The 24,754-nt window shown below is 52.2% G+C and overlaps 1 protein-coding gene and 1 pseudogene across 7 annotated transcripts in view, besides 6 other annotated features; one reads left to right on the top strand and one right to left on the bottom strand.

Moving 5' to 3' along the window:
* Positions 336 to 894: an enhancer, noted in NCBI's record as "H3K4me1 hESC enhancer chr10:134953797-134954355 (GRCh37/hg19 assembly coordinates)". NCBI's record gives its function as "activates a minimal SCP1, AML or CMV promoter by ChIP-STARR-seq in naive H9 embryonic stem cells {active_cell/tissue: H9 hESC(naive)}" and the evidence as "EXISTENCE:reporter gene assay evidence [ECO:0000049][PMID:30033119]".
* On the bottom strand, positions 3,550 to 5,393 carry RPL5P28 (ribosomal protein L5 pseudogene 28; annotated as a pseudogene).
* Positions 10,331 to 11,137: an enhancer, noted in NCBI's record as "H3K27ac-H3K4me1 hESC enhancer chr10:134963792-134964598 (GRCh37/hg19 assembly coordinates)". NCBI's record gives its function as "activates a minimal SCP1, AML or CMV promoter by ChIP-STARR-seq in primed H9 embryonic stem cells {active_cell/tissue: H9 hESC(primed)}" and the evidence as "EXISTENCE:reporter gene assay evidence [ECO:0000049][PMID:30033119]".
* Positions 11,138 to 11,943: an enhancer, noted in NCBI's record as "OCT4-NANOG-H3K27ac-H3K4me1 hESC enhancer chr10:134964599-134965404 (GRCh37/hg19 assembly coordinates)". NCBI's record gives its function as "activates a minimal SCP1, AML or CMV promoter by ChIP-STARR-seq in naive H9 embryonic stem cells {active_cell/tissue: H9 hESC(naive)}" and the evidence as "EXISTENCE:reporter gene assay evidence [ECO:0000049][PMID:30033119]".
* Positions 11,944 to 12,750: an enhancer, noted in NCBI's record as "OCT4-NANOG-H3K27ac-H3K4me1 hESC enhancer chr10:134965405-134966211 (GRCh37/hg19 assembly coordinates)". NCBI's record gives its function as "activates a minimal SCP1, AML or CMV promoter by ChIP-STARR-seq in naive H9 embryonic stem cells {active_cell/tissue: H9 hESC(naive)}" and the evidence as "EXISTENCE:reporter gene assay evidence [ECO:0000049][PMID:30033119]".
* The window catches only part of KNDC1 (kinase non-catalytic C-lobe domain containing 1), a 66,194-nt gene continuing 61,701 nt past the window's right edge, over positions 20,262 to 24,754 (top strand). For all 7 annotated transcript variants that reach the window (NM_152643.8, XM_017016858.3, XM_017016859.3 and 4 more), the window contains exon 1: positions 20,262 to 20,612. In NM_152643.8, coding sequence (NP_689856.6) covers positions 20,511 to 20,612 — 102 coding nt within the window. In that variant the 5' untranslated portion in view covers positions 20,262 to 20,510. The remainder of the gene's footprint in view (positions 20,613 to 24,754) is intronic.
* Positions 20,633 to 21,222: an enhancer, noted in NCBI's record as "H3K27ac-H3K4me1 hESC enhancer chr10:134974094-134974683 (GRCh37/hg19 assembly coordinates)". NCBI's record gives its function as "activates a minimal SCP1, AML or CMV promoter by ChIP-STARR-seq in primed H9 embryonic stem cells {active_cell/tissue: H9 hESC(primed)}" and the evidence as "EXISTENCE:reporter gene assay evidence [ECO:0000049][PMID:30033119]".
* Positions 21,223 to 21,813: an enhancer, noted in NCBI's record as "H3K27ac-H3K4me1 hESC enhancer chr10:134974684-134975274 (GRCh37/hg19 assembly coordinates)". NCBI's record gives its function as "activates a minimal SCP1, AML or CMV promoter by ChIP-STARR-seq in primed H9 embryonic stem cells {active_cell/tissue: H9 hESC(primed)}" and the evidence as "EXISTENCE:reporter gene assay evidence [ECO:0000049][PMID:30033119]".

Below are 24,754 nucleotides of genomic sequence, written 5' to 3' on the forward strand. Positions count from 1 at the left end.
GGAATTTCTCCTCCTTCTTCAAAGGTGACCCCGGGGGCAGGTCCCGGCGCCTGGGAAGGGAACTTGCACAGCTAAATTCCCGCTGGACCCTGAGGCTGGACTCGCAGTCTGGACACCGACCTCCGGAGCCCTGAGTGGGTCGTCCCTGCCCTGCCCCTTCACTGCCCCTGCCCTGCCCCTGCCCCTGCCCCGTGCTGCCCCTGTCTTGCCCCTGCCCCTGCCCTGCCCTGCCCCTGCGCTGCCCCTGTGCTGTCCCTGTGCTGCCCCTGCCCCTGCCCTGCCCCTTCACTGCCCCGCCCCTGCCCCGCCCCTGCCCCGCCCCTGCCCTGCCCCTGCCCTGCCCCTGCGCTGCCCCTGTGCTGTCCCTGTGCTGCCCCTGCCCCTGCCCTGCCCCTTCACTGCCCCGCCCCTGCCCTGCCCCTGCCCCGCCACCCTGGCCTACATCCACTTCTCCATCCGGCCTGGTCTCCAGAGTGAGATGCGGCTCCAGCACGTCCCTGACGCCTCTGACCCTCCAGGGCTGTGAGCCCGTGCCCCCTCACACTCCTTCACAGGACCCCCGGCCCACAGGCAAACCGGGGGAGAGAGGGCCAAGCTGGCGGCAGGGGCACAGCAGACAGGTGGACATGGCACTGCAGGAGGCTAGCGATGGCCTCACGGTGTAGCCGCGGGCCCCAGCCTGTGGGGCTGCACTCTAGCTCACTGTGCGTCACTTACACCTCCTGAAGGCTTAAAATCGATTTCACACACACCCAGCAAGAAGCAGGCTGATGTTGGGGAGGGGCCAGGTGCCTGGGCCTGGCTGAGTAGCATCAGCCTTCAGAGCAGAGGGCAGGGCTGGCGGAGAGGGCCCAGCTGCATCGTGTCAGCCTCCTGGATGTACTGGGAGCAGCCTCAGGCTCGGCTGGATTTCATGGGCAGGATGGTCATCCACGGGAAGCAGAAATAAGAACCTTGTGACTCTCTTGTGTGTCCGGGGCCTCAGTCCTGCTCTGGAGGTGCTGACCCAGGGGCCTCGGGAACCACGGTGGGCTCCACGCCATTCACACGCAGGGTCTCTAAGCCACCGTCCCTCTCCTTCCACATGCCTCCCGCCTTAGCGCCGTGCAGGGGCAGTGACCCTCCCCTGCAAGGCTGGGGCCTCCCCAGGTCACAGGGGAGAAGGGCAGGCAGGCCCCACACAGAAACTTCTGGGGCCAGATCCGTGACGCTGCCCTCTGACATCAGCGGCATTTGTGCCTCCCCCGGGGGCCTCTGGGAGCCAGCGGAGGCCAGGCCACAGCTTGGAATGCCTCAAGGGAAACCGCGTGTCTCGGCCTCAGCCTGCGGCCCTCCTGGAAGGAGGGGTGAAATATCACAGTGTCCACAGCTGGAGCTCCTGGAGAGCACCAGGGACCCCAGCCTCCTGCCCCGTCAGGCCACAGCATCAGGGAAGGACGGCAGCCCCTGTGGGAGGTGTGGCAGGGGCGAGGCAAGCAGCCTCCACTGTGAGTACAAAAGCAAGGCTGCCAGGGAAGGGCCCGTGGCCAAGAGCACCCAGTGAGGCCCAGGACCCAGGGGGAATTAGGTCGGGAGACGGCACCTGTGGTCGGCGAGCAACAAGGACACGCACAGTCCTGTACCGTCCCCTTCCCAGGCCCAGGAGCCACCCGCAGGGGCTGAGCCCTGGGAGCATCCCAGCCGGGCTCTAAGGGAATGTACAGGGGGCCCGGTGACCTGGGCTGGGTCTGGGCTGGGGCCTCCCGGGTTCTCTCACGTGTGTTTCGGCCCCTCTGCAGTGTTCAGATGAGGACGGGGCTCAAATCCCCACACTGGGTAGGGGTGGAGCTGGGACCTGTGAGCATTGGGCCCCATGAAGGGTCCCCTCCAGTTCTCATAAGCACGTCAGGGCATCAGTGGGCTCCGGGACCCTGACCCTGCTCTGCAGATGGCATCTGGGCATCAGCCAGGAGGAGGCCTCCTGCTCTGAGCTGGTTTTTGGAGAAGCCATTGAGGCACAGAGGAAATGTGGGACTGGAGGACGTCCTAGAGGCTGGGACACCCTCACCGGTGCTGGGATCCGGGGGCCCGACACCCCCCAGGCCTCAGCCTCACTGAGCGGCCACCATCGCCCCGAGGGCCCACGGCACTACGCAGCATCCCGGAGCCCCGTGGCCCTGTTCTGCCCTGGACCGCGCACCCTGCTCCCGGAAAGTCCTGCCTCCACAGACACCCCGTGCAGGCCGGGACCTGCACCCGAGGAGGCACACACCGAGCAGTCCCTGGTTTCTGCTGCTGCCCTGGGGGCGGGGCCGGAGTGTCCGGGTGCTGAGCACGGCCCCTTCCCTGTGATCGGCGCGCCAGCCAACAGACAGAAGAGAAAACGTGAGTGCATTAAGTACGTACCTGCTTCTCAGGTCTTTTCATCTTTTTCTGAGAAACATATCCTATTTAATTGAATGAAAAGGAGCGTTCCGTTATTTTCCAAGAAATGACCATTCATCCAGGAAAGGTGATGGGCTTTTTGAATTTTATTTACAGAAAACTACAGTATAAGATCAGTTTTGCTGTTTACGCGTTTGCAAACGGCATGGCCGATGAACAAGACGCATCTCATTCGGATTCAGTTTGAGTTTATTCTGGAATTTTGTTTTAAAGACAAAGTTGTTTATAATGGCTTAGTCTAAGGGCCAGGAAGGTCTCGCCTGGCCCTGCCCTTCAGACACGCCCCCACCTTCACGTCACCCTTCGCCTCACAGCCTGACGGCCACCTCCCCGGTCACCTGGTAAGGCCCTTTATGGAATCTTCTTCCATGAAGAGAGCAAGAGGAACAACAAGCTGTTTTCTTCTCTGCACTCACTCGACACCACAGAACACTTCTGTGGCCGGACATGTGTGTCTCCAGGGACACCAGCTGAGTGTCCTATAATTCCGTTCAGCCTCTACACCATCTACCCGGCGATGGTGTCCGGCCCCACGAGGGGAAGCTGTCCCACAAGCCACCCGCACTGCAGGTCCCGATCACAGGTCTGGCCCACCCGGATGCTCCTTTCTGACTGGCTGCAAAGTGGGGTTCCCATGATCCCCTCCTTGGGTTCGATTAATTTGCCAGGACGGCTCGCAGAACTCAGGGAAGTGCTTATGTACATTTACCCGTTTATTCTAAAGGATATTATAAAAGATGCAGATGAGAAAGCAGCTTTTATCTGAGGAATGTGGGTCCCTTTAAGTTATCAGCCCAGAGAGGCCCTGGAATAAGAGCGGCCGCCCTCCCTGCCTTAGAGACCGACCGACACCAAGTAGCAATAAATGAGCCTGACATGCCCCACGCCAGGCCGTCACTCAGACCCCAGAGTTCAACAGCCGTTGACTGGTGAGTCAATGGCGGCCCTGTAGACAGAGGAGACTCCTGACAAACAGCTGAGCTAATCACCAGTCAACAGCCACCCTGTAGACAGAGGGGACTCCTGACAAACAGCTGAGCTAATCACCAGTCAACGGCCGCCCTGTAGACAGTGGGGACTCCTGACAAACAGCTGGTGTGGGTCACACCTCGTCTTTTTTTTTTTTTTCTGTCTGTAGGTTTATTGTCTTGATCTGAAAAATCCTCATAGGTAATTGTTCGGTTGAGCTCTCAGCAGCTCCTGAGCTCCAAGGAAGCTTGCCTTCTTTGAGCTACCCGAACTTTCTTCTGAGCAAAGGCCATTTTGGGACGGTTTTGCCTCTTCTTTCGAACTTCTTTCTTGGGCTTCTTCTCATAGCCTGGATTCTCTTGTAGAGCAGCATGAGCTTTCTTATCTCTCTCCCCCACTGTGGGCGGCAAGCCAGCCAGGTGCCGAGGCAAGAGACGGAGGGCACGAGCTGATCCAGTGTAACAAAATATATAAAACAACAAGAGTTATGCTAGATCTAGATCATAGATATGATTATATATGAATATCATTCATCATCAGTTTGTAGCAATTACTCTTTATTCCAATATTATAATAATCCTCGCTCTACAATCATAACGTAGGAAAAACCAGGCCATACAGAGATAGGAGCTGAAGGGACATGGTGAGTGACAAGTGACTACAAGGCAAGTGCGTGAGCCTTCTGTCATGCCCGGACAGGGCCACCAGAGGGCTCCTTGGTCTAGCGGTGATGCCAGCATCTGGGAAGACACCCGTCGCCGAGCAGACTGTGGTCTAGCGGAAGCGTCAGTGCAGCGGTCACGCTCCTGGTCCGCTCTCATGTTCCATCCCGTACACCTGGCTCCGCCCTCTAGATAGCAGTAGCAAAATTAGTGAAAGTATTAAAGTCTTTGATCTTTCTGAAAAGAACATAGAAGAAATAATGACATAAGCTGTCCTCTCACTCCCCGCCTCGGCTACCTAACAGGGAAGGGCCCCATGTCTGGTGGACACGTGACTCACATGACCTTATCAATCACTGGAGATGACTCACACTCTTTACCCTGCCCCTTTTGCTTTGTATCCAATAAATAACAGCGCAGCCAGGCATTTGGGGCCACTACCGGTCTCTGCGTCTTGGTGGTAGTGGTCCCCCGGGCCCGCTGTCTTTTCTTTTATCTCTTTGTCTCGTGTCTTTATTTCTACAATCTCTCGTCTCCGCACACGGGGAGAAAAACCCACCGACCCTGTGGGGCTGGTCCCTACACCCCACCATGTCTGGAGTTACGCTGTTCTTTATGTATTGAGAGAACTGTTTCTTGTAAGCATCTTCATCTTCTTGCATTAAGTAGCACATGTAATCTGCAACATTCTGGCCCATGATGCCCTTCCGTGTACTTCTGCATTAAATTCCTTGTTTTCAGAATCATAACCAGGAAATTGTTTGGTACTGTGAGGGATAGACCAGCCTCCATCCACAGCTCCATTCAGGGCGCCAAAAGCTTTATTGCCAGTGGTAGTTCTGGCAAGGCCTGCATCCATATAGCAGGTGAAGGCACCTGGCCGACCAGCAATGCTTTCCACATTCTATTCATCACCAGTCACCTCCACTTCGCCTTCTTAGATCTTGTCCAGGCCAGACCTATTGAGAAACCTGCAGGCCAGCAGCAGCCAGGACAATACGCTGTGGCATAATTTATCAGGCCGACCTTCACACTGTATTTTGGCAGGTCATGTGCATACGCTGTGCAGACTATCATACCCCCTCTATCTGGGCATAAGCGATCTGACAAATGATATCTCTGTTTGTTACACCAACTATCATCCTGTATTTGGGTGTGTTGTATTTGTTTTTATACTGAATCGCCAAGCGTTTCCGAGCATAGCAATCAGTTTTACCCTCTCATCATCTTCTAAATTTCACTTGGTATCTCTTAAAGTCGGCCTTATCCTGCACAACTTTAACAAACCCCATCCTGCGGAACAGAGTCCTGCGTCTGCGGCTCAACAGAGACCGGCCCCTTGTCCCCTTTTTTGCTTTTAAAAACCTGCTTGTAAGAACCAATGCAAGAAGTCCAGTAACTCAACTGGCCAGAGTGCTGTGTGTCCTCCAAACAGCCACACCAGCTCTCCAAGAAGAGTTCTTAACCAGGCTGATGAACTGCCTGGAGTGACAGAAATAGAATTCAGAATACAGCTAGGAGCAAAGGTCGTTGAGATTCAGGAGGACAGCAAAACCCAACTCAAGGAAAATAAGAATCACAATAAAATGATACAGGAGCTGAAGGACGAAATAGCTGGCGTGAAAAACAACCTCATGGATCTGACAGAGCTGAGTCACCACAATACAAGAATTTTAGGCCGGGCGCGGTGGCTCACTCCTGTAATCCCAGCAGAGACGAGTCACCACAATACAAGAATTTCAGGTCAGGTGCGGTGGCTCACTCCTGTAATCCCAGCATAGCTGAGTAAACACAATACAGGAATTTCAGGCCGTGCACGGTGGCTCACGCCTGTAATCCCAGCACTTTGGGAGGCCGAGACGGGTGGATCACCTGAGGTCAGGAGTTCGAGACCAGCCTGGCCAACATGGTGAAACCCCGTATCTACTAAAAATACAAAACCTAGCCGGGCATGGTGGCAAGTAACTGTAATCCCAGCTACTCTGGAGGCTGAGGCAGCAGAATTGCTTGAACCCAGGAGGTTGAGGTTGCAGTGAGCTGAGATCATGACACTGCACTCCAGCCTGGGTGACAGAGTGAGAATCCTTCTCAAAAAAAATTCTTAAAAAAAGAATTTCACAATGCAATCACAAGTATTAACTGCAGAATCAACCAAACTGAGGTAAGAATCTCAGAACTTGAAGACTGGTTCTCTGAAATCAGACAAAAATAAAGAAAAAAGAATTAAAAAACCTCCAAGAAGTATGGAATTATGTAAAGAGGCCAAACCTATGAATCACTGGCATCCTGAAAGGGAAGGGGAGAAAGCAAACAACTTGGAAAACATATTTCAGGGTCTCGTTCATGAAAACTTCCCCCACCTTGCTAAAGAGGCCAACAGTCAAATTCAGGAACTACGGAGAACCCCTGCAAGATTCTACACAAAAAGATCATCCCCAAAATGTCTGACATAATCGTCAGATTTTCCAATGTCAGTATGAAAGAAAGAATGTTAAAGGCAGCTAGAGAGAAAGGGCAGACCACCTACAAAGGGAACCCCATCAGCCTAACAGCAGACCTCTCAGCTGAAACCCTACAAGCAAGAAGAGACGGGGGACCTATATTCAACATTCCTAAAGAAAAAAATCTTCAACCAAGAATTCGATATTCAGCCAAACTAAGCTTCCTAAGTGAAGGAGAAATAAGATCCTTTTCAGACAAGGAAATGTTGAGGGAATTCATCACCACGAGGCCTGCCTAAAAGAGATCTTGAAAGGAGCACTAAATACAGAAACGAAAGACCAGCTAATACAAAAATGCACTTAAATACACAGACTAGTGACACTATGAAGCAACCACACAAACACGCCAGCATAATAAGCAGCTAACAGCACAGGGACAGGATCAAATCCACACAGATCAACACTGACCTTGAATATAAATGGGCTAAATGCCCCACTTAAAAGGCACAGAGTGGCAAGCTGGATACAAAAGCAAGACCCAGTAGTACTATGCTGTCTTCAAGAGACCCATCTCACACGTAATGATACTCATTAGGCTCAAAATAAAGGGACGGAGGAAAATCTACCAAGCAAATGGAAAGCAAAAAAGCAGGGGTAGGAATCCTGACTTCAGACAAAACATTTCAAACCAACAAAGATCAAAAAAGACAAGAAAAGGCATTATATGGTAGAAAGTTCAATTTAACAAGAAGACCTAACTCCTAAATATATATGCACCCAACACAGGAGCTCCCAGATTTATAAAACAAGTTCTTTGAGACCTACGAGGAGACATAGGCTCCCACACGATACTAGTGGGAGCCTTCAACACTCCACTGGCAGTATTAGACAGGTCATTGAGGCAGAAAATTAACAAGGATATTCAGGACCTAAACTCAAGATTGGACTAAATGGATCTAATAGACCTATTTATAGAACTCTCCACCCAAACCAACAGAATATACATTCCTCTCATTGCCACATGGCACAGGCTCTAAAATCACATAATTGGACATAAACCAATTCTCAATAAACATAAAAGAACCAAAATCATACCAAACATACTCTCAGACCACAGCACAATAAAAATAAAAGTCAAGACTATGAAAATCACTCAAAACCATGCAATTACACGGAAATTAAACAACATGCCCCTGAATGACTTTTGGGTAAAATTAAGGCAGAAATCAAAAAGTTATTTGAAAATAAGGAGAACAAAGATACAACACACCAGAATCTCTGGGACACAGCTAAGGCAGTGTTAAGAGGGAAATTCATAGCACTAAATGCCCATATTAAAAAGTCAGAAAGATCTCCAATTAACAACCTAAATTCACAACTGAAAGAATTAGAGAAGCAAGAACAAATCAACCCCAAAGCTAGATGAGAAACAACACAAATCGAGCTGAACTGAAGGAAATTGAGACACATAAAACCATTCAAAGGATCAATAAATCCAGGAGTTGTTTTTTTAAAAAATAATAATATAGGCCACTAGCTAGATTAATAAAGACAAAAAGAGAGAAGATCCAAATAAAGCTAATTACAGATGATAAAGGGAACGTTAGCACTGACCCACAGAAATCAAAGCAGCCATCAGAAACTACTATGAACACCTCTACACACACAAACTAGAAAAGCTAGAAGAGATAAATAAATTCCTGCACCCATACACCCTCCCAGGACTGAACCAAGAAGAAATTGATTCCCTGAACAGACAAATAATGAGCTCTAAAATCGAGTCAGTAATAAATGGCCTACCAACCAAAAAAACTTCAGGACCCGATGGATTCACAGCTGAATTCTACCAGATGTGCAAAGAAGAGCTGGTACAATTCCTACAGAAACTATTCCAAACAATTGAGGAGGAGGAATTCCTCCCCAGCTCATTCTATGAGGCCAGCATCATCTCGACACCAAAACCTGGCAGAGACACAACAAAAAAAGAAAACTTCATCCCTGGGATGCAAGGTTGGTTCAACATACACAAATCAATAAGTGTGATTTGTCACATAAACAGGATGAAAGACAAAAACCACATGATTTTCTCACTAGATGCAGAAAAGGGTTTCCATAAAATCCAATACCTCTAAGAGCCGTCCTATGACAAACCCACTGCCAACATCATGCTGAATGGGCAAAAGCTGGAAGTGTTCCCCTTGAAAACCGGCACAAGATAAGGATGCCCTCTCTCACCACTTCTATTCAACATAGTATTGGAAGTCCTAGCCAAAGCAATCAGGCAAGAGAAAGAAATACAGGATACCCAAATAGGAAAAGAAGAAGTCAAACTATCTCCATTTGCAGACAACATGATTCTATATCTAGAAAACCTCATAGTTGGCCCCAAAGCTCCTCCAGCTGATAAACAACTTCAGCAAAGTTGCAGTATACAAAATAAATGTACAAAAATCACTAGCATTTCTATACATCAACAACAGCCAAATCAAGAGCCAAATCAGAAAGGCAATCCCATTCACAATTGCCACAAAAAGAATAAAACATCTAGGAGTAGAGCTAACCAGGGAGGTGAAAGAGCTCTACGATGAGAATTATAAAACACTGCTCAAAGAAATCAGAGAAGATACAAACAAATGGAAAAACATCCCATGCTCGTGGATAGGAAGAATCAATATTGTCAAAACGTCCATACTGCCCAGAGCAACTTAGATTCAATGCTATTCGTATCAAACTACCAATGACATTCTTCACAGAACTAGAAAAAAAACTATTTGAAAATTCATATGGAACCAAAAAAGAGCCCAAATAGGCAAGGCAATCATAAGCAAAAAAAAAAAAAAAACAAAGCTGGAAGCATCACATTGTCCAACTTCAAATGATACTGCAGATCTACAGTAACCAAAACAGCGTGGTACTGGCACAAAAACAGGCACATAGACCAACAGAACAGAATAGAGATCTCAGAAATGAGACCACACACCTACAACCATCTGATCTTCAACAAAGCTGACAAAAACAAACAACGGAAAAAAGACTCCACATCCATAAATGGTGCTGGGATAGCCCGCTAGCCATTTGCAGAAGACCGAACCTGGAGCCCTTTCTTATACCATACACAAACATTCAACTCAAGATGGATTAAAGACCTAAATGTAAAACCCAAAACTATAAAAACCCTGGAAGACAACCTAGGTAATACCATCCTGGACATAGGAACGGGCAAAGATTTCATGACAAAGACACCAAAAGTAATCGCAACAAAAGCAAAACTTGACAGGTGGGACCTAATTAAACTGAAGAGCTTCTGCACAGCAAAAGAGACTATCAACAGAGTGAGCAGACAACCTACAGAATGGGAGACAATATTTGCAAACTATGCATCTGACAAAGGTCTAATGTCCTGCATCTGACAAAGGTCTAATGTCCAGCATCTGCAAGAACTTAAACAAATTTACGAGAGAAAAACAATCAACCCCATTAGAAAGTAGACAAAGGACATGAACAGAAACTTCTCAAAAGAAGACATACATGCAGCCAACAAGTGTATGAAAAAAAGCCCAATACCACTGACCATTAGAGAAACGCAAGTAAAAACCACGGTGAGATACCATCTCACACTAGTCAGAATGGCTGTGATTAAAACGTCAGAAAATAACAGATGCTGGTGAAGTTGGGGAGAAAAGGAAAGGCTTATACACTGTTGGTGGGAGTGTAAATTAGTTCAACCATTGCAGAAAGCAGGATGGAGATTCCTCAAAGAGCTAAAAGCAGAACTATCATCTGACCCAGCCATCCCATTACTGGGTATATATCCAGAGGAATAGAAATCATTCCACCATGAAGACACAAGCACGTGAATGTTCATCGCCGCACTGTTCACAATAGCAAAGACATGGAATCAACCTAAATGCCCATCAATGGCAGAGTGGATAAAGAAAATGTGGTACATATGTACCATGGAATACTATGCAGCCGTGAAAAAGGAGATCGTGTCTTTTGTGGGAAAATGGATGGAGCTGGGGGCTATTATTCTTAGCAAACTAACACAGGAACAAAACACCAAATACCGCACGTTCTTACTTACAAGTGGGAGCGAAATGATGAGAACTTATGAACACAAAGAAGGGAATCACTGACACTGTGGTCTCCTTGAGTGGGGAGGGTGAGAGGAGGGAGAGGAGCAGAAAAGGTAACCGCTGGGGCTCCGTACCTGGGTGATGAAATAATCTGTACCACCAACCCCCATGGCACGTGTCTACCTGTGTAATAAACCTTCACATGTTACCCCAAACCTAACACCTCCCACGTTCAATGCAGCCCAGTGAAGGGTGGCGGCCAAGGCGCCCTCAGGGCCCAGAGCCTCCTCTCCGGCCGTGCCTCCCTCCTGGAAGCTCCCAGGCTCAAACCCCGAAGCTCATCGGATCTTGTTGCTTGGGGTTGTCTGGAGTGTGGTCTCCAGATCCCTCTCCCGGAGGGCAGTGGGTGAAGCAGAAAGTTCCCACCTGGATCCTATCATTGCTGGTCTCTCTGAGGACCGCCATCCTGCGGCCTCCCCAGGGGCCCCACTTGTCCACCTCATTGCCATAACCCTGGAGTTATCACAGGGCTCCTCATGAATAACAAAAGACACTCCCGTCACTCAGAATCTTCCTGGGGTCATGGATCCCCATCCCACACACCCCAATAAAACCAAGTGTGTTTCATAAAATACCACAAATAAAGAAAAGAGGGGCAAATTCCTGGGGGCAAGGGGCATTAGCTGGGTGTGGTGGCACACACCTGTAATCCCAGCTACCCGGGAGGCTGAAGCAGGAGAATCACTTGAACCTGGGAGGCAGAGGTTGCAGTGAGCTGAGATTGCACCACTGCACTCCAGCCTGGGCAACAGAGCAAGACTCTATCTAAAAAAAAAAAATAGTGCCAAAGGAGCAAACTAAAACTCTCTCTGGGGGAAGATAAAGTAACCCTAGGCCTCAAGTAGTTTCCAAGAATACTTTTGCGAAACACAGTAGCCAGCACACAATTTAAAATAATCAGGCACTCAAAGAGAAAAGATCACACCCATAAAAGCCAGCAAGAAACAGGAGACGCGTGGGGCCACAGCTCAGGGAGGTAAGAAACAGCAGACAACAGGAGAGACGCGTGGGGCCGCAGCTCATGGAGTTCTCAGACAGGCTTGTGAAGGTGACCTGTGCTTGCCCACCATGCTCAATAACACACAGAAATCAGTCACTCAAAACCAAAGTCCCTGGAACTTCGCACAATTTTGAGCCTTAAGGAATCAACGACGGGACCTGACTCAGAGGACAGGCAGCTGCAACCTTTGTTCCCTGAATGCAGATCAGCCTTTCCTTGACCGACATTGTTTTGTAAAATGTAGAGAAGTTAAGGCGTCAGGAAGACCCTCCCTCTTCCCTGCTGATCTTCATTAGAGATTAACTCCCCTTTCTTCCCTGACTGACACAAGACCTCATGACTACCACACAGTGTAAGGCTGAATGCTAAATATGCTCTTTTAAATGGAAAACAGAAAACAAACGGAGTATAACGAATCAAATTGCTATCACTCACAAGCCAGCCTTGTATGAAAAATGCTGTAACCCTTTTAAATTTCTCTGTTTTCTGCATATATAACAGAGACCTTAACTTTTCAGTTTCAGAGCACTGACCCCATTTCTTTGGAGTCTGTGTTATCCGGATGGCTATTTTCAGCTTCGTGCTTGAATATACTCTTTTAAACTGGATTCTGATCCTTTTGATGTTTGAGAGTTGACAGACATAGAAACTAAGGTTGAGAATTTTGGCAGAGAATCAGAAACCATCAAAATTTTAAAATAAATAAAAGGCCTGAAAAAGAAATAATGGAAAGAATCCAATGAATGGGTTTAATGGTAGATTAGACATAAAGAGAGTTTGTGAACTGGAAGATGGACCATCTGAAAACATCGAGCATAAAACTAAAAGATAAACTACAGAATAGAGGGCAAAAGACACACAGTGTAGTGTGTGCAGATCCATCACATGTGTGTGCCTGGAGTCCACCAATGCTGGGACAAGCTGGGCAGATTTATCACACGTGTGTCCCTGGAGTCCACGAATGCCGGAATGAGCTGGATGGATCTAGCACACGTGCGTCCCTGGAGTCCACGAATGCCGGGATGAGCCGGGGTCCAAGAGAGAGAGAACAGGAGGGAACACTGCAACAGCATCTAATGACAGAATGGTGAAAACTTTCCCAAACTGCTTAAAAACACAAGCCATGGATTCCAGCAGGTCTACAAACTTCCAACTAATATAGAATAGAAATGAAACAATACATTAATAACCAATACAAAATAAGTCAGAAAGAAAAGGGAGCAGAGAACAAGGGGAAAACAGAAAACACTTAACAAATGGTAGATTTAGGCCAGGCGCGGTGGCTCACACCTGTCATCTCAGCACTTTGGGAGGCTGAGGCAGGCGGATCACCTGGGGTCAGGAGTTCAAGACCAGCCTGGGCAATATGGCAAAACCTGGTTTCTACTAAAAATACAAAAATTAGCCAGGCATGGTGGCACATGCCTGTAACCCTAGCTACTCGAGAGGCTGAGGTGGAAGGATCACTTGAACTCAGGAGGCAGAGGCTGCAGTGAGCCAAGATACGCCACTGCACTCCAGCCTAAGTGACACAGTGAGTGAGTCTTTGTCTCAAAAAAAAAGGAAAGAAAAGATAAGAAAAGGGTGAAAATCAGTGAGTTATACAATCATCTCAAGAATTTAGAAAAATAATAACAAACTAACCAAAACTAGAGGAATGAAATCATAAAGATAAGAACAGTGGCCAGGCGCGGTGGCTCACATCTGTAATCCTAGCACTTTGGGAGGCCGAGGCAGGCAGATAGCCTGAGCTCAGGAGTTCAAAACCAGCCTGGGCAACACAGTAAAACCCTGTCTCTACTAAAAATACAAAAAAATTAACCAGGCGTGGTGGCGTGCACCTGTAGTCCCAGCTACACAGGAGGCTGAGGCAGGAGACTCACTTGAACCTGGGAGACAGAGGTTGCAGTGAGCTTAGATTGTGCCACTGTACTCCAGCCTGGGCAACAGAGCGAGACTCAGTCTGCAAAAAAAAAAAAAGAAAAAAGAAAGAAAGAAAAAATAAGAACAGAAATTAACAAAATAAAAAATATATATCCTTTAAAAGGGTTCATAAAATCAATATAGTCCTGGCAAATCCAATCCAGAAAAAAGAAAGAAGGCACAAGTAACAAATGTCAGGAGTTGGGGGGCTATTCCTTCAGACCCTACAGACATTAAAAGGTAAAGAGCAGATAGATAATACACGCAAGTTGATGCCAATAACTTGGAAAAGACAGAAATTCCTAGGAAATGTGAAAGCTTTATTTTTAGAGATGGGGTCTCCCTATGTTGGCCAGGCTGGTCTTGAACCCCTAGTCTCAAATGATCCTCCTGCCTCAGCCTCCCAAAATGCTGAGATTATAGGTGTGAGCCACTGTGCCTGGCCTGAAAGCATCTTAATAGTTGTATAAGTATTAAATAATTGAATTCATAATTTGAAACCTTCGTATTTAAAAACAAATGCCTTTAGATCCAGTGATGGCCTCACCAGAGAATTCCACCAGACATTTAAGGAAAAAAAATAACAGTAGTTTTACTAGAACTCAAACTCTTTCAGAGAATAGAAAAAGAAGAACACATCCCAATTATTTCAGGAAGAAGCATAACCTTGATACTTACAGCTAACGGGGACATTATAAGAAAGACACATCACTGGCCGATGAAAATAAATGCAAAAGTTCTTACACAAAATATTAGTCCACCAAATCCAGCATACTGAGTAAAGACCCTATATCACAACCAGATGGAAGGAGTGCAAAATTAGTTCAACATCAACCATTTATCCGTGTAATCTAACACATCCTCAGAATATGAGAGAAAGTCACATAATCATCTTAGTGGATGCAGAAAACACACTTGATAAAATTCAGCGCCTGTTTGTGATTTAATAGAACACTTGGCAAATCAGCAAAAGAAGGAGACTTAATTAGTCTGCTAAAGGGAGTTACAAAAACCTGAAGCAAAATTACACTTAATGGTGAAATGGAAAGCTGGCCTTCTCTCCCACTGGGAACTCAGCAGAGTGGACGATCGCCACCCCTGCTATTCCCTGTTGTTCAGGAGGCCCTGGCAGGGACAGTGAGGAGGAGGAAGAAAGAAACATGAGAAGGATTAGTAATGAAGAAGTCAGTCTGACATTATTCTCAGATGATATGGTTGCTTACATAGAAAATCCAAAGCAACACGAAGATCAGAATTAATAAGCAGGTTTAGCAAAGTTGCCAGATACAAGGTCATTATACAAAAACCAACTTTATAGGCCAGCACTAAACAGAAAATAAGTGCTTTGCAAAGACAGAATCTACAGTAGCACCACAAAATATCAGATATTCATGCTAAACATAATAAAAGATGCATAAGGCCTTTTCACAGAAAACTACAAAATATCGTTGGGAGAACAGGATGGTAATCGGAACATGTGGAAGGAGATGCATGTTCACGGGTGAGGAAGCTGTGCAGGGTGAGCGCAACCCCAGCCATGCTGCGGGGCACATGACACGCTGCTTCCAGGTGGGTCTGAAAATGCAGAGGACCGCGGGCAGCCAGGACTTTCTTGAAGAAGAAGGAGGTGGGGGAAGAGGCAAGGGTGGGTTCTGTGTGGAGACTTCTGTGGCTGTTGCAGAACTGACAGACCGATGGGAAAGGATAGAGTCTAGAAACAGACTCACACCCGGGCACATTCGACCCAGCAGAAGCCAGGCTGGCAAAACGGAGGGTGAAGGGCACCTTCCCAACACCCGCCCCCGTGCCCGGCCATCGCCAGTGCGGGGAAAACAGGAACTTCATACATGCATAACCTAAGACCCGGCAACTCCACTCTAAAGATAGGCCAAACAGAAACACAGGCACCTGAAGAAAAGATGCCCCCGTAGCTTCGTTCCTAAGGCTGCAAATTGTAGAAGCCACCTGAGTGCCCACCAGCGCAGAAAGAGAACCTCCACTGTGGGGTATTGACGTCGTTGGAAAGAGAACCTCAACTGTGGGGTATTGACGTCATTGGAAAGAGAGCCTCAACTGTGGAGTATTGACGTCATTGGAAAGAGAACCTCAACTGTGGGGTATTGACGTCATTTGAAAGAGAACCTCAACTGTGGGGTATTGACGTCGTTGGAAAGAGAACCTCCACTGTGGGGTATTGACGTCGTTGGAAAGAGAACCTCCACTGTGGGGTATTGACGTCGTTGGAAAGAGAACCTCCACTGTGGGGTATTGACGTCGTTGGAAAGAGAACCTCCACTGTGGGGTATTGACGTCGTTGGAAAGAGAACCTCCACTGTGGGGTATTGACGTCGTTGGAAAGAGAACCTCCACTGTGGGGTATTGACGTCGTTGGAAAGAGAACCTCCACTGTGGGGTATTGACGTCGTTGGAAAGAGAACCTCCACTGTGGGGTATTGACGTCGTTGGAAAGAGAACCTCCACTGTGGGGTATTGACGTCGTTGGAAAGAGAACCTCCACTGTGGGGTATTGACGTCGTTGGAAAGAGAACCTCCACTGTGGGGTATTGACGTCGTTGGAAAGAGAACCTCAATTGTGGGGTATTGACGTCATTGGAAAGAGAGCCTCAACTGTGGAGTATTGATGTCATTGGAAAGAGAACCTCAACTGTGGAGTATTGCCATCATTGGAAAGAGAACCTCAACTGTGGGGTATTGACGTCGTTGGAAAGAGAACCTCAACTGTGGGGTATTGACGTCGTTGGAAAGAGAACCTCAACTGTGGGGTATTGATGTCGTTGGAAAGAGAACCTCCACTGTGGGGTATTGACGTAATTGGAAAGAGAACCTCAACTGTGGGGTATTGATGTCGTTGGAAAGAGAACCTCCACTGTGGGGTATTGACGTCATTGGAAAGAGAACCTCCACTGTGGGGTATTGACGTCATTGGAAAGAGAACCTCCACTGTGGCGTATTGACGTCGTTGGAAAGAGAATCTCCACTGTGGGGTATTGACGTCGTTGGAAAGAGAACCTCCACTGTGGGGTATTGATGTAATTTAATACAATTCAGTAACAATAATCAATAAATTACTACTACCCATAACAACATGGTTGAATCTCAGAGACACTGAGGAAAAATGCACGCACACACACACAAATACACACACACATACACACACACAAATAAACACACACACAAATACACACACATAGACACAAATACACACACATACACAAATACACACACACGAATACACACACAAATACACACACATACACAAATACACACAAATACACAAATACACACACATACACACAAATACACACACATACACACAAATACACATACACATACACACAGACACAGAAATACACACACATACACAAATACACACACAAATACACATACACACATACACACACAAATATACACACACATCCACACAAATACACATACACATACAGACACAGAAATACCCACACATACGCACACATATACACACAAATACACACACGCACAGAGGGACGGGGGTTCCGTCTGCTCCCAGCCGCATTGGTTCCCCCGTGGGGTGAGCCTGGCAGGACAGGGCCAGCCCAGCGCCCAGAGACAAAGTGAGGAGACCGTGTTTCCGCCAGAGCCACAGGGCAGCTCCCCGCAGAAGCCAGTCGTGGTCCACGGTTCCCGCGTGCCGGCTCCCAATCTCTAACAGGAGCACCGCCATTTACTTCCACATTTCCTTTTTTTCTTTACTAAATATCTGATTTATTAAAATTTACATGTGTATTTGTTGCAAAGTGTGATGAGGAGCCAACAGAAACTCGGGCATAAAAATAATTCATCGTCAGATACAATCTGGGCAAAAACCAGATGGCTATGATGCGTCTGAGGAAAAATGTCAGCACGAAGATCTCGGACTGTTAGAGAAGAATGTGTTTACGAATTCTTTAAACGACTGACAGTAGGTATCAAAACCATTTTGGCATTTAGCTTCCTAGATACATTTACAGGAGTGACTAACAATTTTACTTCAAAATGTGAGTATTTACATCACACCAGAAATGACATTATTTGCCATCATTTACATGTCTGGATTTTTTAAGAAACCTGGATGTTGACGTCAACATGTGTGAGTGATTTGGCAGCTTTTCAAAATTGTTTTAGGGAAAACGAGAGCCAAGGCCCTGAAGACCCCTGCTCCACCCGCCTCAGCACGCAGCCCAGTCCAGCTGAGCGCCGACTGTGGGAGACCGAGTGAGAAGGACAAGGCCGATCCTGACAGCGTCCGGGTGTGACAAGGGCCCGGTAACCCCCTCGGAGCAAGGTCTCAGGAGAAGCATCTGGGAGTCCTACCCTGGGCCCCTCATGGAGGAGGGAGGGTGGGCAGGGCCTGGGCAGGGAGGGAGGAACCAGGTTCCTCACTCCAGCCAGGAGCCACAGTTCAGGCTGTTGCCTCTAGCAGAGGGGAACGTCTGGTGGGAAAGGGCAGTGGGGTGGGGCAGAGGATGGGTAGAGGCCATGGAAGAGTTGGAAGAGGACGAAAGTGCCACCAAGTCATGGCCCTGGACCACGGACCTGATCGTGCAGCTGGGAAGCCCCTCAGAATTCCGACACCACCACAAGCATCCTCGGGAGGAAGCTGTGCCAGCACATGCTGGGCACACAGGGCTGGCACCGAGAGGCAGGAGGGCTTGATGAGGAGGCCGTTCCTTGTGGCTCACGGAGGGCTCTTGGCCGTTTCCGCGTGGCACCCAGAAGCTGCTCACCAGCTCTAGAAGACGTGGGGCGATGAATCCAGACCCTGGAGGAACTGCGCCCTCGTCCAGCATAACTGAGGTGCCAGGACACAGGACCGACATCGCACCCTCCACTTGGGTCAAAGCTTTATCACTGCAGGCGAGTGTGCGGGCGCCCGGGACAACTCGCAAAACGTCTGGAAGTTCCCACCACTCCCCAGAACAACAGAGACCAAAGCCCACAAATCTTTAAAGGAAAGCAGCAGGTGCGTAAAAGAAAGAGCCTGCGGCCCCTGCCCGAGGCCCCTCCCCACGTGCCCAGCCCTGAGCAGCAGCAGCGCTGAGTGACCCAGGTGTGGGAAATGCCTGCTGAGGGGTTTTAGGCCGCAACAGCCGAAGCTGACACGGCCGACTCCAGGAGCCTGTGAGTTCTGCATTTTACCAACCGCATGCACGTCTTTCCAGGAGTGCTTGCCCTATGGCTGCCCCCCAAATTATGGGGTTACCTTTGCCCCCTATTCAGTGTCTATATCCTCACCCCAAGCCCGTGAGGTGACCTGGGCACTCGGTGACAAAGTCCTGTGCTTGTGGGGTCCCTGGTGCCTTCCCTTTGGGGTCACGTCAGCCCGGCGTTCCCCCGGAGGCACAAGTCTGGGTGGCAGCTGAGAGGCGTCAGGGGCACATCCAGACCTGACAAAGGAGGCGGCCCCAGCCCTGCAGCAGAGGGCCCAGGAGCCCAGGGGCTCAGCTCCAATGTCCAGGTCTGAGCACCAGGGTGCAGCGGGATCAGGCTCCTGGAGCAGAGTCTGCCTGCCACTTCCGCCTCCTTCCAAGACAGGGACTGGGGCGCTGCAGGCCCTGTGGGGCCCACAGAGAGAGAGCTCAGGGACAGCTGGCTGAGGCCACCCTCTGTGAGACTCCTCCTCTCCAGCTCCAGCCCACTCCACCTTGGCTTGCTGCCCAAGCTTCCAAACACCCAAGGATGGGGGAGGCTGCACCTGACTGCTGACTCGGTGGACCAGGGTGGGCCCCAGGGTGGGCATTTTCAATAAGGTGGGGCTGCCTGGCTGGACGCAGGGAGTCTGCCCAGCACCTGCCCCACTCCCAGCCTCCGGCTTCAGTGCCCACCTGGCTCCCGGGGAGCTGAGCCCCTGAACTCCCTGCCAGGCCAGAGTGACAGCCCGGGTGACCGACCAGGGGACAGAGTGCTGGGAATTCACGTCCCTGAACACACTGCACCCTCCCACTCTGCGGTCAAAAGCCCTGCTGCTCCTTCAAGCCAGGAGCATGGATTAAGTACCTACTGTGTGCCTGGCCAGCCACACGGACGGGGAGCTGACAGCCGGGCCCTGAAGCCGCCCTCTCTCCTGTGGGAGTTCTGGGGGTGGCCGGGGAAGGTGAGATTCTCCTCCACCCTCCCTGCCTCTTGGCCGAGCTTGGGGCTATCCTGGCTCTTCTGACCGCGGCACTACCGTGGGCCGGGGTCACCCTGGCGCTGAAGAAAGCCCCGGGGGGCCTTTGGGGCAGGAAGAGGTCAAGAGCCCCAGGACCCCCCAGGGTCCCCCAGGACCGGGGAGGGTCGGGTGCCCAGTGGGTCTCTCCGATGCCTCCAGGTGGGGATGAGGCAGCGTTATTGCCCCACCCCCAACATCCCCGGGCCTCCGAAAGACCCTCGCTCAGGAGAGACCCCGGCCCAGCGACCGCCCCGCCCCCCACCCCGGGCCCCGCCCCCCACCCCGGGCCCCGCCCGGCCCTGCCCAACGCCGCTGCAGAGGCCACCCCGGGACTGCGGCAGCCCCGCCCGGCAGCAGCGGGGGTGGGACGGGGGCGGCGGGAGCCGGCGAGGGGGTCTGCCCGTCCGAGCTTTCCTGGGCGCCGGCTCCGCCCCTCGACCCTTGGGGCCCAGGTGGGGCGCAGACCCCGTGGCTCCCCGCGGAGGCCACACGCCTGGCTCCGCCCCCGGTGCCTCCCCCAGGAAGGAGCGACGTTCCCTAGGCGCCGGGTCCGGACAGCGCCGCGCAGCCCCCGCGCACCCCGCGCCCCCCGCGCCCCCCGGGCCCGCCCCGTATCCCTGACCGCGTCCCCTGGAGACACTGCGGCAGCGGCGGGCGGGCGGGGGCGGGCGAGGGCCGGGCGCGTCTCCATGGAGCCAGGGCGCGCGTAGCCGAGCCCAGCCCAGCCCAGCCGGAGGCCCCGGGGGCGGTGCGCGGCGCGGCCGCAGGATGCAGGCCATGGACCCGGCCGCGGCGGATCTTTACGAGGAGGACGGCAAAGACCTGGACTTCTACGACTTCGAGCCGCTGCCCACCCTCCCCGAGGACGAGGTGAGCCCCCGGCCCCACTGGGGGGCCCCTTCCGCCGCCGAGGGGTCCGCGGAGAGCGCCCGGGGGGAGGACCCGGGAGGGGCTGTGAGCTCCCGCCTCCCCAGGCGCCCTCCATGGCCGAGGGGTTCCCACCGCCGTTCTCAGCCCCCGCGTTAGGATTTTCACCCGGAGGGGACAGCACCCCCGAATGCGCACGGGACGGCGGCGGGTGGGCAGCCCCTGCAGAAGTTGGTGCGCGGTAGCTCCTGGTGGAAACCCTGGCGGGACAGTGTGGGGGCAGCAAGGAGGACGGAGGGGGGTCTGCTTACTCCCTGCCGGGCCCCAGGAGGCCAGCGGGGTGCAGAGCAGCAGAGTCCAATCAGGCGCCGCTCAGGAGCTGGGGGATGAGGTCCCCGGAGCTGAGGTTCAGGAGCGGGGGGTGGGGGGAGCGCTGGATGACTGCCCCCCGAGACTGAGAGCTGCTTCCTGCTCTCTGGTTTTCCGGGCCTTCACCCAAGACCCCCCTACCCCGCAAGGTGCAGAGGGGCTCTGCCTGCCATCTGCATACCCTGGCGCTTCTGCTCATGGACCGCCCACCCTACAGCACCGGCTGCCCAGACGCCACCTTGGCTGGGTCTGACCCTGTAGCTCAGCTCTGGCTTGGCTGGGATGGAGTGGACAAGCCAGGCCCGGAAGCATGAGAGGTGGCCCCCAGGGGATACAGCAGCTCCCAGAGGGACCCTCACCCTCCAGGGATCCGAGATCTGCCAAACCTCCAACAGGCAAGAGCCCAGACGCTGGGCGCCTGCGTCTCCGGGTGACAGCGTCGTCACCTGCAGCCATTAGTGGGATGTTGTGGCGCCCTCTCTTTAAAGCCGGCCAAGTAAGCCTGGAGCAGGGAATCCCGGCTGCAGCAGCCGCGGGCCTGACCCCCTCGCAGTCCCCACCTGCTGCCCCAGGGGAGTGGGCTCTGAAGGGACCGGGAGTTTCTGCTGTGGAAGCACCGTCCTTCTGGGAAGGTTCAGCCCCAGGAGGCCCTCGGCCCAGCCACCTAGAAACAGCTGAGGCTGTGCGGGGGTTGGCGATGCCCCCGCCCCCACCATGGCCTGGATTCGGTGCAGTTGAAGGCTGCAGAGAGGAGCAGCCAGGGGAGGCAATAAAGCTTCCAAGATCACCTCGGCTCTGACCGAGAGGGAGGGGCAGCCCGCAGCCTTCAGAAACGCCCCAGGACACATCCCAGGGTATCTGTTAGGAGGCGGCCCTGAGGACGCAGCTCTTCCCACAGCTCCTTCGTGCATCAGAGGCCTGAGCCTTGAGGGCCTCCCCGCTCCGCACACGGAGGCAGCAGCCGGTGCCACGCACACAACACGCCGCGCCAGGCGCGAGCCCACTTGGAGCCACAGGCTGTCTTTCTGCACACTCCCCACTCCCGCTCCCCACCCCCACGCACACACCAGTGTCCTCGGGCCGGCCGGACAGCTCCCGGCCGGCACAGTACTGGGGTGGGTGGCTCCATCCTGTGACGTCCACCAAGGCCTCCAGGTGAACTGTCATCCCACCGAGTTTGCAGCGTGCAGTGGGAACGTTCAGGTGGGCCCTTCGCAGACACTCCTGGAAAGCATCGGGTGGTCCCTGGCCCAACCCTGTGCCCAGTACTGAGCCCAACACACCCCATGTCTCAGAATTCCCCTGGCGTTCAGACTCTGCTTCCCACACGTGTTTGGCTTGGAAGGTTCTGAAATCTCCATCGGGGCACCTGACTTGCATGGGAAAACCGTCCTGGGTGAGGTGAGGGCACGGTGAGGTTGCATCATCATCCCAGAATGCCGGAAGGCCAAGGGTGCAGGGCAGCTGCCGGGAAAGCACGGTGGCGCCAGGCCCAGGACATATGCAGGCTTCATAAGATGTAGGAACTCACTCATTCTACAGCTAATTATAATGGCTGGCTCCATGATGGGGTCAAGAAATAGACCCCTATGGACACCCACCGGAGCCCCTGGAATGTCCCTCCCTTGACATGGTCCCAAAGAAAATCCAAATGGCTGCTGAACATGTGAAAAGATGTTTGCTCATTGCAATCAGGAAAATGCAAAATACACCCCCACGAATGCCTTCCCAAGACCGCCAGGCTGGCAAGAACTGAAGAGCGGACAGCGGCTTGTGCTGGCAAGGACGGCGCAGCAGCTCTCCCTCGCGCCAGTGGGAGGACAAATGGAGCAGCCTCTTTGGAAAACAGCCCAGCATTCGCTGGTGAAGTAGAAGGCACCAGTGCCCTGTGTCCCAGCAACTTCACTATGGTGTGGGCCCCAGAGACACGTGGCCGTGCGTGTGTGAGAACACTCTCAGCTGGAACCTACCAGAGCATCAGCAAGTGGGCCAGCAGGTCCTGGAGGAAGTGACCAGGTTGGATCCCAGTACAGGCAAAGAACCACCAGTACACGATAGACAGGGAGATGTTCTGTGGGGGTGATGCAAGGAGGGCTTCCTGGAGGTGTCCTGCCCGGGATTCCCATGAGATTTCAGTCACTGTGGATGGGGGTATGGGATCTGAGGCAGAACAGTGCAATCCAGGCAGAACAGCGGCTGCAGAAGAGGCACACAGTCCAGGCGGCTGGAGTCGATGGATGGGCAATGCTGGCTGCCCCATGGGAATTCAGATGAGACGAAGAGGGTGCACCGGTTTGGGTGCCAGAGCAGGACGTGTCCCGGGTCCCTGAGAGGCAGGCAGCACTATCATCCCTCCCAGAGTTCAGCAACTGCCTCCCAGAACCTCCTGTGTGCCGGTGTCAGGCTGGGCTCAGAATCTGAGGCTGGACAGGATGCAGTTGCTCCCTGGAGGGGCACACAGCTGGGGGCTCCCAGTAAAGAAGAGGACGTCCCCGCTGCAGGGTCCATATGACATCTGTGCCAGGATGAGCTCAGAGCAGAAGGCACCTCGGGAGCAGAGGTGGTTTTGTGGTGGGGGCCTGGCAGTGTGAAGAGAGCTGTCAGGAGGCCTGGGGATTGGCAGCCAGTGCTCCCAGCTGTGATTGGAGTTTTGTATTAGTCCTGTTAGAATCCCACGGCTGAAAAAAATCAGTTGGTCATAAGACAGTGTATTTCAAATGCGCCACACGATCTAGGCGTCCCTGTGTAACCCTGGCTCGAAGTCTGCCTGGCAGTGTGGCGGGGGGTGTGGGAGCTTTCTGAATGCACAGGGCCCCTAATGGGGACCTGCCATGAGATAAGGGTCCTCGGTGGGAAGCGTGCCCTGCCCTCTGAGACCCAGGGACTGGCTGATGTGCTGCTGCCCTGGAGAGCAGCCCAGTCCCGGGGGTTCATGTCCACCTGCCTTCCCAAATCCCTCCTCCCACCTGGGATGGGGGTGGAGTTCGTGGCCACCTGCCTTCCCAAATCCCTCCTCCCACCTGGGATGGGGGTGGAGTTCGTGGCCACCTGCCTTCCCAAATCCCTCCTCCCACGTGGGATGGGGGTGGAGTTCATGTCCACCTGCCTTCCCAAATCCCTCCTCCCACCTGGGATGGGGGTGGAGTTCATGTCCACCTGCCTTCCCGAATCCCTCCTCCCACCTGGGTTGGGGGTGGAGTTCGTGGCCACACAATTGCAAAGTGGGGACCAGTCTTTCCTGTCCTGCAAGGAACAGGTCTTAGGTGGTCCCTGCTCTCAGACCTACCCCATGGCTCACCCAGGCACGCCCTGCTAGGGATGGTAAGGGGCAGGGTGGGTGGTCGGTGGGCTGGACTAGGTCATGAAGAACCCTCTGGGCCTGCTCAAGAGGCTGGGTCTGTGCCGGCAGACGGAGTCACTGAAAGCTGGCCAGCCACAACAAGGTCAGACTGTATTGGCAGGGGCAGGAGAGGCTGAAGTGTGGAAAGTCACGAGGCCCCAGCCTGCCGTGGGGCCCTCGTGGGTGCTGGGCAGACAGGTGCGCAGGAGGCGGCGCTGGGCAGACAGACAGGCGTCGGCCAGCTGAGGCCGGCGTTGCTATTCACAGCACGTCACCTCCTTCCCAAGTGTCTGCCACAGCCCATTAAACTCCTGTCGAGGCCACCTCGGCAGCCCCGCAGCCCGGCTGGGCGTATTTTACTTGAGCACGAAGCTTCCTGGCCCAGCTGTGGACTTGAACCTACCTGGTAGCAAGGCTGAGAGCCCCGGGGTCTCCA

This window comes from Homo sapiens, chromosome 10 (genome assembly GCF_000001405.40).
Source record: "Homo sapiens chromosome 10, GRCh38.p14 Primary Assembly".
In the NCBI taxonomy this organism is placed as follows: domain Eukaryota; kingdom Metazoa; phylum Chordata; class Mammalia; order Primates; family Hominidae; genus Homo; species Homo sapiens.